General features: G+C 42.0%; 1 protein-coding gene across 52 annotated transcripts in view, besides 3 other annotated features; it reads left to right on the plus strand.

Annotated features, from left to right (window-relative positions):
- Positions 1-13518, plus strand: part of ZNF532 (zinc finger protein 532) — a 123557-nt gene that overhangs the window by 18659 nt on the left and 91380 nt on the right. The gene's annotated exons all lie outside the window — the stretch shown is intronic.
- Positions 7734-8234: an enhancer, noted in NCBI's record as "H3K27ac hESC enhancer chr18:56556548-56557048 (GRCh37/hg19 assembly coordinates)". NCBI's record gives its function as "activates a minimal SCP1, AML or CMV promoter by ChIP-STARR-seq in primed H9 embryonic stem cells {active_cell/tissue: H9 hESC(primed)}" and the evidence as "EXISTENCE:reporter gene assay evidence [ECO:0000049][PMID:30033119]".
- Positions 8235-8735: an enhancer, noted in NCBI's record as "H3K27ac hESC enhancer chr18:56557049-56557549 (GRCh37/hg19 assembly coordinates)". NCBI's record gives its function as "activates a minimal SCP1, AML or CMV promoter by ChIP-STARR-seq in primed H9 embryonic stem cells {active_cell/tissue: H9 hESC(primed)}" and the evidence as "EXISTENCE:reporter gene assay evidence [ECO:0000049][PMID:30033119]".
- Positions 10824-11650: an enhancer, noted in NCBI's record as "NANOG-H3K4me1 hESC enhancer chr18:56559638-56560464 (GRCh37/hg19 assembly coordinates)". NCBI's record gives its function as "activates a minimal SCP1, AML or CMV promoter by ChIP-STARR-seq in naive H9 embryonic stem cells {active_cell/tissue: H9 hESC(naive)}" and the evidence as "EXISTENCE:reporter gene assay evidence [ECO:0000049][PMID:30033119]".

Here is a 13518-nt window from a genome sequence, read left to right on the forward strand (position 1 = left end):
ATTTTGTAACTTCTAAAAGGCAGAGCTCACCTCAGTTTGTCTTATAGAAAGCCCATGCTTTAAATCACCTACAGTGTCCTGTGGTTTATAGGTGTCATTTTTATAGCTAATTGGTGTCAGGCTCAGATATCTTTGACGTTCAAAGCCACTGCTAGGTCAACCAGTATTTCTCCTATTGTCAAGAGCCATGAGGCATTTCTTGCTTCAGGAGACTGATGTGGCTGTAGCTACTCAATGTCCATAAACATTAAGAGATCTTGTGCTGCTTTTATTCATTGTTTTTCCTTTACAGTATCTATGTGTGCCTACTTGTGTGCATTTTACAATACAAATAGCTTCTTTTTGGAAATACTTCCAGAACCATCAAACAAGGTTTTTTATTTTTTATTTTTTGAGACAGGGTCTTGCTCCGTCTCTTAGGCTGGGGTACAGTGGTGCAATCTCAGCTTACTGCAACCTCTGCCTCCCGGGCTCAGGTGATCCTCCCACCTCAGCCTCCTGCGTAGCTTGGGACTATTAGGTGCACGCTGCCATGTGTGGCTGATTTTTCAGTTTTTAGTAGAGACGGGGTTTCACAATGTTGCCCAAGCTGGGAACATAGTTTTTATAATCATTTCTATGGCATGAAACTTTAGGTGGAGTCTCTTTAGAAATACTTCATTCTTGCTCTCCCTCCATATTTGGAGATTTGTTAACTTGTTCTTTCCTTAAGTCATCTTGGGTTGATGCAGAGGTGTGTCTGGAGAGGAAGTACTGCCAAGAAAAGCATGGAGTTAGAGTTGTCAGGAAAATGGGCTGGAAGCACCTCCCTCACATGATAACTATAGGATGCATGCCTGTTTCCTAAAACCAGTTCCTAAAGAGAATATATTTTTAAGAGGCAGGGTCTTGCTCTGTTGCCTAGGCTGGAGTGCAGTGATCTGATCTCCGCTCATGGCAGCCTTGAACCTGTAGGCTCAAGCAATCCTCCTGTCTCAACCTCCCAAGTAGCTGAGACTGCAGGTGTGCAACACCATTCCTGGCTAATTATTATTTTTATTTTTTGTAGAGATGGGGTCTTGCTTTGTTGCTTGGGCTGGTCTCAAACTCCTGGCCTCAAGTGATCCTCCCATCTTGACCTCTTAAAGTGTTGTGATTAGAGGTGTGAGACACCATCCCCAGTCTCCAAAGAGAATAATTTCTTAAACCCAGCTTTACGTTTGTCCCAGAGATATCTCATCCTGAAAGATTCCAGCATCAGATAAGCTTGGGTAATGCTAAAGCCCTGGATTCCCACTTTGAAGATTCACATTGGAGGTTCATGTTAGCTCTGGAAAGTTCTGAGAAGCCTTGAGAAAAGAAATCAGGCTGTGTGTGTGTGTATTTAATCTAACATTTCTCAAATTCCTAGACTGTAGAACCCCTTCTTCCCCTTTCTTGGGTGGAAAGTTTAGTAACAGGAGGAACATTCCTGGGTAAATATTCTTCCAAGCTGTTGGTGTCTTTGATGAAATTAATGAAAACTGAGAGAGGGCCTTGTGAGGAAGACTCAGAGGGTTTCATCCATCCTCTTCTCAATATAACATAATGATTGATATACTGATGTAATTAATTCTCTTTCTCTGTGTTTTTTTCCTGTTTTCTGTTTACTCCAGGAAGAGAACTTTTAAATGAATTGATTTTTAAAGTCAATGATGGTGGGCATTCTGTGAGTGATCACTGTGGGGGATACTTTCAGACATATTTTTTAGATAAAAGGACTGTGTTTCAGAATTCCAAAAGTGTTTTAAGTGAATTTGGTATCTAGTGAGAATTGTTTCATGATTAGCCAGTGGCATCATTTTGGAGGATGAGAACAGCTGTGATACCTGTGCAGGGAGCCTATTTGTCCACTCCCTCAATTAATGGGAGAGGGCCAGGGTCAGGGTCGGCTGGAACAGAGAATTGCTACTGTCTGTATACTAGGACATGGCTCTGGCATGGATGACCTAAGCAAGCAGGTTTATTATGATTCCAGTAGGATTAAGTATTGGTGGGAGGAGGATAGGGTGATATAGGGAAGGCATCCCTGCTCACATAAAGCAGAGTTTTTTAACCTCAGCACCGTTAGCATTTGGGGCTGGATAATTCTTGGTTGTGGGGAGGGCTGTCCTGTGCGTCTTAGGATGTTTAGCAGCATCCTTGACCTCTACCCACTATATGCCAATAGCATGCCTCCTCCCCCAAGTTAGAACAACCAAAATGTCTCTGGACATTGCTAAATATAATTGGTGATAGGTCATCCCAGTGGAGAGCCACTGACTTGAAGCCTTGTAGTAAGAACAATACTTCAAAACTTCAGGGGATGAAAATTGCAAAAGAAAGACCTCTGTTGAGGGAAGCAAGCCAGTCAGCCTCGTGGACCTGTGAAATCCCCAGAGAAGTAGGTTACCTTCAGCTACTAGTTTTCTCTTCCATGTTTTCTAATGCTGGAAGTCTCAAAAAGTGTTTGCAAATATTAATATTTTAAATTTAGTGCTTAAAATTTAAAAACTTGGCCGGGCACAGTGGCTTACGCCTGTAATCCCAGCACTTTGGGAGGCCAAGGCAGGCAGATCACCTGAGGTCAGGAGTTCAAGACCAGCCTGGCCAATATGGTGAAACCCTGTCTCTACTAAAAAATACAAAAATTAGCTGGGTGCGCTGGGCGCGCTCCTGTAATCCCAGCTACTTGGAGGGCTGAGGCAGGAGAAGCGCTTGAACCTGGAAGGTGGAGGTTGCAGTGAGCCAAGATTGTACCACTGTACTCTAGCCTGGGTGACAAAGTGAGACTCCGTCTCAAAATTTTTTTTAATTGACAAAGTAAATGAGAAGAAGCAGCGACTATTGCTGATAGTTCGGAGCATTTCAGGGACAAAAGCTTCTGTGCAGGATTTAGGACCTAACGCACAAAAATGTGGAAGGCTTATTCAGGTGACAAAGGAAAATTGCTTTGAAGTTATTCTTTTTCTATACTCAAAACATCACTTCTAATGTAGGAAATCAATATTTTGAAGCTACAGTTTTTAGAGATGCTACTAAAAAGCATGGTACTTACAAAATGCCAAAGGAATGCTTCTAAAGTTGGTATGAGTTTTCCTCCCAAACCAGGAATCCCTTGTTACTAGTATTCACACAGATAAGTAACTTCTTAGTTTTGAAATATTAAAATTCATCAAACATGCTTCATTAAGGGAAAAAAAGGCAGTTTGTATCTAAACAGTAAAGAAATTTATAAATTTTTTCTTGTTTTCTCATTGTGAAGCTATTTGAATAACCCGTTTCAAGCAAAAGTTATCATGGATTTTCCTGAGGTTTATTAAAAGTGACAGGTTTAGCCTAGACCGTTTCAGTATTTCTATAAACTCACTGATGAATCAGTAAGCTACCAGTACAAGGGTTTTTTTTTTTTTTTCTTTTTTTTTTGAGATGGAGTTTCACTCTTGTTACCTAGGTTAGAGTTCAGTGGCATGATCACGGCTCACCGCAGCCTCCGCCTCCTGGGTTCAAGCGATTCTCTTGCCTCAGCCTTCCGAGTAGCTGGGATTGCAGGCATGTGCCACCACGCCTGGCTAATTTTTATATTTTTAGTAGAGACGGAGTTTCTGCATGTTGGTCAGGCTGGTCTCGAACTCCCGACCTCAGGTGATCTGCCCGCTTCAGCCTCCCAAAGTGCTGGAATTACAGGCATGAGCCACAGCGCTCAGCTGGGTGTTTTTTTGTTTTTGTTTTTTTTAGTTAAAAGAACGTATAGCCAGTGGAAAACAGAGCTTGTACAAAAGTACCTTTGACAGAATTGCCAGGATTGATGATTGTAGGAAATTTATTATTATCTTCATTTACAGATATACATTATGACCTTCAAAGTTTGTAGGAAATTTAAATTTCCACCTCCTGCCTTTTGTGCACATAATGAGATTTTGAAAATGCAAACCTACACTTATGTGGATGAATTTTGAAAAAATTCTTTTTAGTGTTAGAAGAATACAGTTGGACTGGGCATGGTGGCTCATGCCTGTAATCCCAGCATTTTGGGAGGCCGAGGAGGGTGAATTACTTGAGGTCAGTAGATTGAGAGCAGCCTGGCCAACATGGTGAAACTCCGTTTCTACAAAAACACAAAAATTAGCTGGGTGTGGTGGCAGGCACCTGTAATCCCAGCTACTCAGGAGGCTGAGGCAGGAGAATCACTGGAACCCGGGAGGCGGAGGTTGCAGTGAGCCGAAATCGCATCATCGTACTCCAGCCTGGGTCGAGACAATGTCTCAAAAAAAAAAAAAAGTTGGAAGTAGAGAGTAAAAGCTCAAAATTTCCCTCACCCCGTTTCATAGCCTTTTAAAGCTGGGGGTCAGGATCTGTGGTGGCATCCTTCTGAGCCTTTCTATGAATTTTACTTTATTTCTTTATTTTTTTTTGAGACGGAGTCTCGTTCTGTCATCGCAGCTGGTGTGTAGTGGCGCCATCTCAGCTCTCTGCAGCCTCCGCCTCCCAGGTTCAAGCAATTCTCCTGCCTCAGCCTCCTGAGTAGCTGGGACTACAGGTGTGTGCCACCATGCCCAGCTAATTTTTGTATTTTTTTTTAGTAGAGACAGGGTTTCACCACATTGGCCAGGCTGGTCTCGAACTCCTGGCCTCAAGTGATCCTCCTGCCTTGGCCTCCCAAAGTGCTGAGATTACAGGCGTGAGCCACTGCACCTGGTCCTTTCATTCAATTTTATGTATCTAGGAATTTTACGTGTCTATATGCTTAAATATAAAAACGTATGCTTATTTTATTTTAAGGTAGTGTATGTATTGTTTTGTGACCTGATTTTTTTTTTTAACTTAATGTTCAATCTTGATTGTTCCACTTCAGTACTTACAGTGACTCTAACCTCACTTTTAATCAGGGCATGGTACTCCATAAAAAAGGAATGTGCCAAAAACGATGTGAATGCACTTAACACTGTTGAACTGTGCATTTAGATATGGTTACCATGGTAAATTTTATGCTATGTGTATTTTTACCACAATCTGAAAAATAAAGGATGTACCATGATTGTTACATAATCGTTTATGTACCATTGTCATGGATATGTACATGATTTCTAGTGCTTTGCTATGTTACAAATAACTGTGCACCAAACGTTTTTGTACATGTGATCCTCAATTTGGGAGATTTTATTTCTGTGGTTTAAAACATTGCCTCTATGCCCTGAGATCAATGACATGTCATCCAGATATAGCACATAGAGGCCTTGCCCATTTTTCTTCAGGAATAACTAGGGGAAGAGTAGGTTTTTTTCTATATGGATTTTTAGAATTTATTGGTTGTGGGTATGCTATTAGAGAGAGACTATCCTGTAGTAATCTCCTTAGTTGGAGATGTTCTTTCATTAGCTTGTAATCTCAGTAGGTTCCTGGGCAAGCCCTGCCCAGAGCTCATTTTCACTTGTCCTTTACCAGATACCTGCAGGGATGGTCAGCTCTGGTAAATTACCTGGTTCCTAAGGCTTTTCTGGCGGTGAAATGAAGAACACCCTGAGGGAACACAGGCAGATGATGGAGTTCTGATAGCTTTGTTAGGTGGCTTATTCCGCAACACAGTTGCGTAGGGGCCCGAGGGGCCCTGGGCAGAACCCAGGCCTTCTGGTCTCCTGCAGTGGTTTGGTATTTAGTAAACTCTTCTGTGTTTGAATTTTTCTGTGCAGAACCACGGTTTTGAAATGCTAACCTGAGGGCAGTCTTGCCCTTTAAATGTACATTTTGTTTTCTGAAGAGAAACATGGGGCAGGTATTTTTGGAGGCTTTATATATTCAGTAAGTAGATATTCCACTGTTCAAGAACCTTCACGCTCACAGCAAGTCAGCACAATTCTGTTTTTGACTTTTGAGCAAGAAAAGGAAAACACTGGTCATGTGAATTGGCTGGAGTTGCTTAATTTGGTTATTGTTCGATGCATATTTATTTCCGGGGTGATGCAGCCCTCTGCCTCTCATGTGTTTGGGGTCAGTTGGGTGGTCTGGTGGGAGAAGAGGGGAAGAAAGAAAATGGGTAGTCTGCTGCATCATTGTGTGACCTGTCATCTTCCACCTGGGCTTAACACAAAACCACAAACCAAAACAGAACCCCCACGCTCACAGGAGGGACCGTCATGCAGGACTAGGCAGTATTGCTGGTTGTGGTTAGTGTCCTCTTCCCAATCCTAGGGCCTATCTGAAGGCTGGAGACCACACCGAGTCGGGGCGAGCTGCGGTCAGTGCCACTTCCTGAGGAAGTGACTGAGGCAGCCGGGCTTTGTGAAAGCTGCTTTATCCCTGCGTCCCCCGGGGCAGAGGGGAGCAGAAATAATATGCCAATGGCTTTTCCTGCGGAATTAAAGGAGCCCTCCCCAAACATCTTTTTATTAGATTAGAGCTTTGCGTTCATAAATTATTTCTAACTACTCTCCTATTCTAGTTCTCAGAAAATGGAAGGAGCAGAACTTCATATCTTTAAGGATTTTCTGGGATTATGCTCTAATCTAAATTATGAAAACTTGATATATTTTAAAGGAATTTACTCAGTTGAATAATAAACCACAATCATCATGAGTATTTTATTTTATATAGGCAGACAGTATAAAACTTTTAGATAGTTCATTAATAAAGGAAAATTGAACATTTTGGAACTTTCATGTGATTTTAGCAAACTGCAAATCAGTCAAATATTAAATCCGTTAACTCCATGTGAAAGTAAAGAATCACTTAGAATGTACAATGTCACGTTTTCTAATTTTATAAATATAAAATCAGATATTTTTCTTGTAAGTTTTCTTTTCAGAAATGAAAATATGGCCGGGTGCAGTGGCTCACGCCTGTAATCCCAACATTTTGGGAGGCCAAGGTGGGTGGATCACCTGAGGTCAGGAGGTCAAGAGCAGCCTGGCCAACATGGTGAAACCCTGTCTCTACAAAAATACAAAAAATTAGCTGGGTGTGGTGACGCACGCCTGTAACCCCAGCTACTTGGGAGGCTGAGGCAGGAGAATCGCTTCAACCTGGGAGGCGGAGGTTGCAGTGAGCCAAGATCACACCATTGCACTCCAGCCTGAGCGACAAGAGCGAAACTCTGTCTCCAAGGAAGGCAAAAAAAAAATTATATATATATATATATATATATATATAAATTATATATATATATTTTATATATATATAAAATTAATATATATAATTTATATATATATAAAATATATATAATTTATATATATAAAAAATTATATATATAAATTATATATATAATTTATATATATATAATTTATATATATATAATATATATTATATATATATATTTTATATATATATATATATATATAATTCATACAGGCTGAGTATCCCTTATCCGTAATGCTTGGGACCAGCATTTAGGTTTTTTTGTTCCAGATTTTGGAATATTTACATTATACTCACCAGTTGAACATCTCAAATCTAAAAATCCAAAATTTGAAAGTTCCAAATGAGCATTTGAGTGTTAATTTGGCACTCAAAAAGTTTAGGATTTTGGAGCATTTCAGATTTAGAATATTCAGTGTACTTCTCCCCCAGACCTCTTACAAATCATGTTTTCTCTTTCCGTGATTTTCTTTCTCTCTCTTTTCCAAGCATTTTAGATATATATGCCTAAGTAGTTAACACATAGAGTTAAAAAGCTCTGAAGTTAGCTAGATAGAGGTGAATAAACCCTCCCTGGGCACTTCCTGTTTCCAGGTAACTGCCACAAATAAAGAGGGATGCTTGTTCCAGGTGTACCTGAAATTTATCAGGTTGTCTTTCTTGAGCCATATAACACATATCCATGTACTTGTACTTTTTCTGTAAAATACAGTTAGTAAGAAAACAGCACTTATATTAACTTGTACTTTCTACTTAAAAGGATATTTTTCCAGAAGTGGAGTGGGTGTTTAAGAAATACAAACTCTTGGCCGGGTGTGGTGGCTCATGCCTGTAATCCCAGCACTTTGGGAGGCTGAGACAGGCGGATCACTTGATGTCAGGAGTTTGAGACCAGCCTGGCCAATATGGTGAAACCCCCTCTCTACTAAAAATACAAAAATTATCCCAGCTACTCGGGAGGCTGAGGCAGAAGACTCTCTTGAACCCAGGGGGTGGAGGTTGCGGTGAGCCGAGGTCACGCCACTGCACTCCAGCCTGGGTGACAGACTGTGATTCCATCTCAAAACAAAAAACAAAAAAACCCCAAAATTTGGCTAGGCGCGGTGGCTCACGCCTGTAATCCCAGCACTTTGGGAGGCCAAGGCAGGATCACCTGAGGTCAGGAGTTTGAGACCAACCTGGCCAACATGGTGAAACCCTGCCTCTACTAAAAATAAAAAATTAGCCAGGTGTGGTGGCATGCACCTGTATAGTCCCAGCTACTCAGGAGGCTGAGGCAGGAGAATCGTTTGAACCCGGGAGGTGGAGGTTGTGGTAAGCCAAGATCGCGCCACTGCACTCCAGCCTAGGAGATGGTGAGACTGTGTTTAAAAAAGAAAAAAAAAAATTAGCTGGGCATGGTGGCACACACTTGTAATCCCAGCTACTTGGGAGGCTGAGGCAGGAGAATCACTTGAACTCAGGAGGTGGGGGTTGCAGTGAGCCGAGATTTTGACACTGCACTCCAGCCTGGGGAGGAAAAATATATATATATATGAGTTATATATATATACACACACATACATATATATATATACACGTATATATATAACTCTTAAGTAAAATTAAGTACCCTGGTTAGTACTTAACTGTTACAACTGGGTTTATCTAAATATTTGCTCTTCTTCTACCCAGAGGGCCATTATTGTGTCTTTGACTCCAGTTTGATCCTTATTCTTTTTTTGATATAAAGGTGGTTCCATCATTATCTCCTTAATGACTTCTGGGTTTCTTTTTTTTAAACCTTAAACTGTACCTGGTATCTCCTTGCCAAAATCCCAATGACCCCGCATTGCTCTGTTACAGGAATTCTTTTCCCTCTGTCCTTGCACTAACTGCCGCCCATTTTTTTTTTTTTTTGAGAAATTTAAAAAGTAAGGAAGGATATGTGAATTACTTATTAAGTACTACCTGTATTCTCACCAGTCACTGTAATATGACTGTATGCCCAGTCTGTTCCCTCTCCCCTTCTTTTTCTCCATCCTGCCCTCTAGCTTCTTCTTCCTCCTCCCCCACTCCACCTCTTCCTCTTCCTCAGACCTCTTTACCTCTTCTTCCCGGTAGGTAAATGGTTCCTCTCCTTCCTTTTTTTTTTTCCTTCTTAAACTATTTTTTTAGATATGGGGCCTCTGTCATCCAGGCTGGGGTGCAGTGATGCTATCATAGCTCACTGCAGCCTTGACCTCCCGGGTTCAAGTGATCCTCCCACCTCAGCCTCCTGAGTAGCAGGAACTACACGCATGCCACCGTATCGGGCTAACTGGGTTCAAGCGATTCTCCTGCCTCAGCCTCCCGAGTAGCTAGGACTACACACGTGCGCCACCATGCCTGGCTAATTTTTTGTAATTTTTAGTAGAGACGGGATTTCACCATGTTAGCCAGGATGGTCTCGATCCCTTGATCTTGTGATCTGCCTGCCTCGGCCTCCCAAAGTGCTGGGATCACAGGCATGAGCCACTGCGCCCGGCCTCTCTCTTTCCTCTTAAAAGGAACCTGGAGGCCTGGCCTGGTGGCTCACGCCTGTAATCCCAGCACTTTCGGAGGCTGAGGTGGGTAGATCACTTGAGGCCAGGAGTTTGAGACAAGCTTGGCCAACATGGCGAAACCCTATCTCTACTAAAAATACAAAAATTAGCTGGGCATCATGGCGCATGCCTGTCATCCCAGCTACTTGGGTGGCTGAGGCATGAGAATCACCTGAACCCAGGAGGCAGAGGTTGCAGTGAGCCGAGATCATGTCACTGCACTCCAGTCTGGGTGACACAGAGAAACTGTCTCAAAAATGAATGAATGAAACCTGGGACGCTTGTACTTACGAACATTTAAAAAAATCAGGTAAAATGGATCATGCTTTGTAAGTGTGATTAAAAAGACTTTTTACTGTTAGTGTTGGTCTGTGTTCTTGCATGTGTTTTAAGCTTTTTACCTAAAATAGGAATTTATTTATAATGAGTTTGACTGAGGATCTCTTAGAAAGTTGGTTAACCTTCTCTGTTCTGACCAGTCCTCGTTTTGTTGTTGAACGTGCCATCCTCTTTCCCACCCTGGTGTGATACTAAGTGCCAGCCTATGCCAGTCTGCCCTCCCTCCTAAAGCTGGATAAACTCCTGGGTTCACATTTACCTTGAGTTGGGGGAAGTAGTTTATTATTTGGAATAGAACATTTCCTTCAGGCCAAGATCCTTTAGGAAAATGAAAGTAAAAGTGCTAAAATACCAGCCCCCACTCACCCATAAGCAAGGCTGGTTTACTGTGAAATCAAGAATATATAGTATCTTGATGGATAGAGTGACAGAAGGTATTCTTGGAGACATTTTAAACATAAAAATTATGATTTAAGCGCATGAGTAAATTATTTTAATGTCTCCATTTCTCTCATCTTTCATTTTATCGTGAGTTAAACATATATCTTCAGGATTTTAAAGCAAAAGAGTGAAACACAACACTGTGTCTCAAAGGGTTTTTTCTTTTTTGTTTAAGAGTTATTTTTGTAAGAATTTATGAAGAAAGGTTGTTCTTGTGGTTACTTGCTTTGGCTTTAAACTCTCTTTGGAGAATATCACAATCTAAATTTAAAGGGTACTCTTGAAAACACTGTTGAATTGACATGGAGTGTCTGATTTGATGGAAGCCCCGTAGACCTGGAACGGTATCTGGGATATGTTACTGAGTGTGAAAATGCCTATATATGTGTATGTATATTTATGCTTATGTATGCATTTAGAAATCTGTATCCCAAATGTTACCAGTTGATCTCTGGTGAGGAGGCCTCCCAGAGGCCTTTGGTTTCTGTTGCTTATACTTCTGGGTGTTAGAGCATTGGCAAAGAGCACGTAATACCCATAATAAATTCCAGGAATGAAAGAGGTACATTTGAACAAAGGGCAGCCTGTCGTCTAAATAAAGCGCTTCACAACGATGCTACTTTGGCATTCAAGTTTGAGCAATTGTGATGCAGAAGCAATGTTCGTGTAGAGATTTTGAATCTAAGAGGTTCTGTTGGCTGAAGGTTCCCCAAGTGGGGGCGTGGCAGAGACAGGAGGGGAACATTACTGCAGTAGAACTCATACAAGAGAATTCAGTTTTCTGCTGCTGGTGGGTGAAATGATGAGATCTGTGACTGCTGTTTCTGTAGTACTCTGCAAAGAAAGTCCCAAGGAATGCTTGTCAATTAACTGAGAGCAAGTCAGTTACTCCAGATTATCAACTCAGCAATTTCTGATTTGTACTTTCTTTTTTTTTTTTTTTTTGAGATGGAGTCTTGCTCTGTCACCCAGGCTGGAGTGCAATGGCGCGATTTCAGCTCACTGCAGCCTCACCCTCCCAGGACCAAGCGATTCTGCCTCAGCCTCCCGAGTAGCTGGGATTACAGGCGTGTGCCACCGCACCCAGCTAATTTTTGCATTTTTAGCAGAGGCGGGGTTTCATGTGTTGGCCAGGCTGGTCTTGAACTCCTGACCTCAGGTGATCTGCCTGCCTCGGCCTGCCAAAGTGCTGGGATTAAGGGCGTTATGTACTTTAAAGAATAAAAAAAGAATAATTAGAAGTGTCTGTGAGTTGATTTAGAAATCAATGAATCTCTTGCTATTATTATGTTAATAGTTTGCTTTAGAAATGAGATAACTAGTTGCCTGGTGCCTGGCGTGGCGGCTCACACCTGTAATCCCAGCACTTTGGGAGGCTGAGATGGGTGGATCGCTTGCCCAGCCTGGGCAACATGGCTGTGGCGAAACCCTGTCACTACAAAATACCAAATATTAGCCGGGTGTGGTGGCTCGTGCCTGTAATCCCAGCTCTTGGGAAGGCTGAGGTGGGGAGGATCGCTTGAGCCTGGGAGGTTGAGACCACAGTGACTCGTTATCATGTCACTGCACTTCAATCTGGGCGACAAAGCAAGACTCTGTCTCAAAAAAAAAAAAAAAGAAAGAAATGAGATAATTGGGAAGCTATGTGAATTTTGGACCCACATGCTTATTATATTGATCTGTTAGGACTGCTTAAGAGCTAACTTGTCACCTGTGAAATGGTTGGCTTGATATTTTGATATTTAAAGGTTTGCCTTTTGCTTCTCGTGGGTACAAGCCAGAGAGAGCAGTGGTTACATGGGGGTAGAATGGTGACTCGTTTTTACCTGACTGTGGATCAGCTGGGTGGTTCCTGAATCTCACTGGGCTCATTGTGGCTCTTTGCTTGTCCTGTATTTACTGTCTGTGGTAGTGAGATAGAAGAACCACCATGTTCTTCTGGTTCTAGACTCAAACTACAGGGAGAAGGAAGAGATGTGTCTGGCATCATTTCCGTGTTGGAGTAACTTTGTGGTAGATTGCTGTGGCCTTTCTTTGTGGCCTGCCACTTGTCTTACATTCTTCAGAGCATTTATGCACAGGAGCATAAATATATGATTTTCATCTTGCCATTGAAAGTAGACTTTCCGGCCGGGCGTGGTGGCTCATGCCTGTAATCCTAGCACTTTGGGAGGCCAAGGTGAGCAGATAACTTGAGGTCAGGAGTTTGAGACCAGCCCGGCTAACATGGTGAAACCCCATCTCTACTGAAAATACAAAAAAGTTAGCCGGGTGTGGTGGTATGCACCTGCAATCCCAGCTACTCAGTAAGCTGAGGCAGGAGAATCGCTTGAACCTGAGGGGTGGAGGTTGCTGTGAGCTGAGATTGCACCACTGCACTCCAGCCTGGGTGATAACAGCGAGACTCCATCTCAAAAAAAAAAAAAAAAAAGAAAATAGACTTTCCTTGGTCTAGGAAGAGTTTAAATAATGGAATAAGTGAAAAGGATGTTCTTACTAATCAAATCCAGTAAACCATGGCTCGTTGTGGGTATTAATTTGCTAGGCTTTATGAATATTGACCTCCTTATTCTTCCCTAAGGAAGTAATTAATCATTTGCCTTTTGTGTGGTCTTGATCTTCCTTTTATGCACCTTGTTTTCATTAGACTTGAAGCCATCCTCGATTTTCAGGCACTACTTGGCATTTTACGAACAAACTACCCTGTCAATTTTTCTAGATATTTTAGCATATTTTCTAGGTTAATGTTGTTGTCTACTTGGAATATTTAGAGATTAATGTACATGAACATTTTGGGAGCTGGACATGGTGGCCTGTAGTCCCAGCACATGGGAGGCTAAGGCAGGAGGATCATGTGAGCCCAGGAGTTTAAGACCAGCCTGGGCAACATAGGCCTTGTCTCTGTAGTTTAGAAGAAAAAGCATTGTGGAACTCAGAGAAAAGTTACTATCCCACAGGAAGAGCCAAAAGAAATTGTGCCTGAGCCATTCTCCTTCTTTTCCCCTTATCCCTGTGGCACAGAGCCATTGGCAGAGGCTCTAATTGG

This window comes from Homo sapiens, chromosome 18, assembly GCF_000001405.40.
Source record: "Homo sapiens chromosome 18, GRCh38.p14 Primary Assembly".
Taxonomy (NCBI): domain Eukaryota; kingdom Metazoa; phylum Chordata; class Mammalia; order Primates; family Hominidae; genus Homo; species Homo sapiens.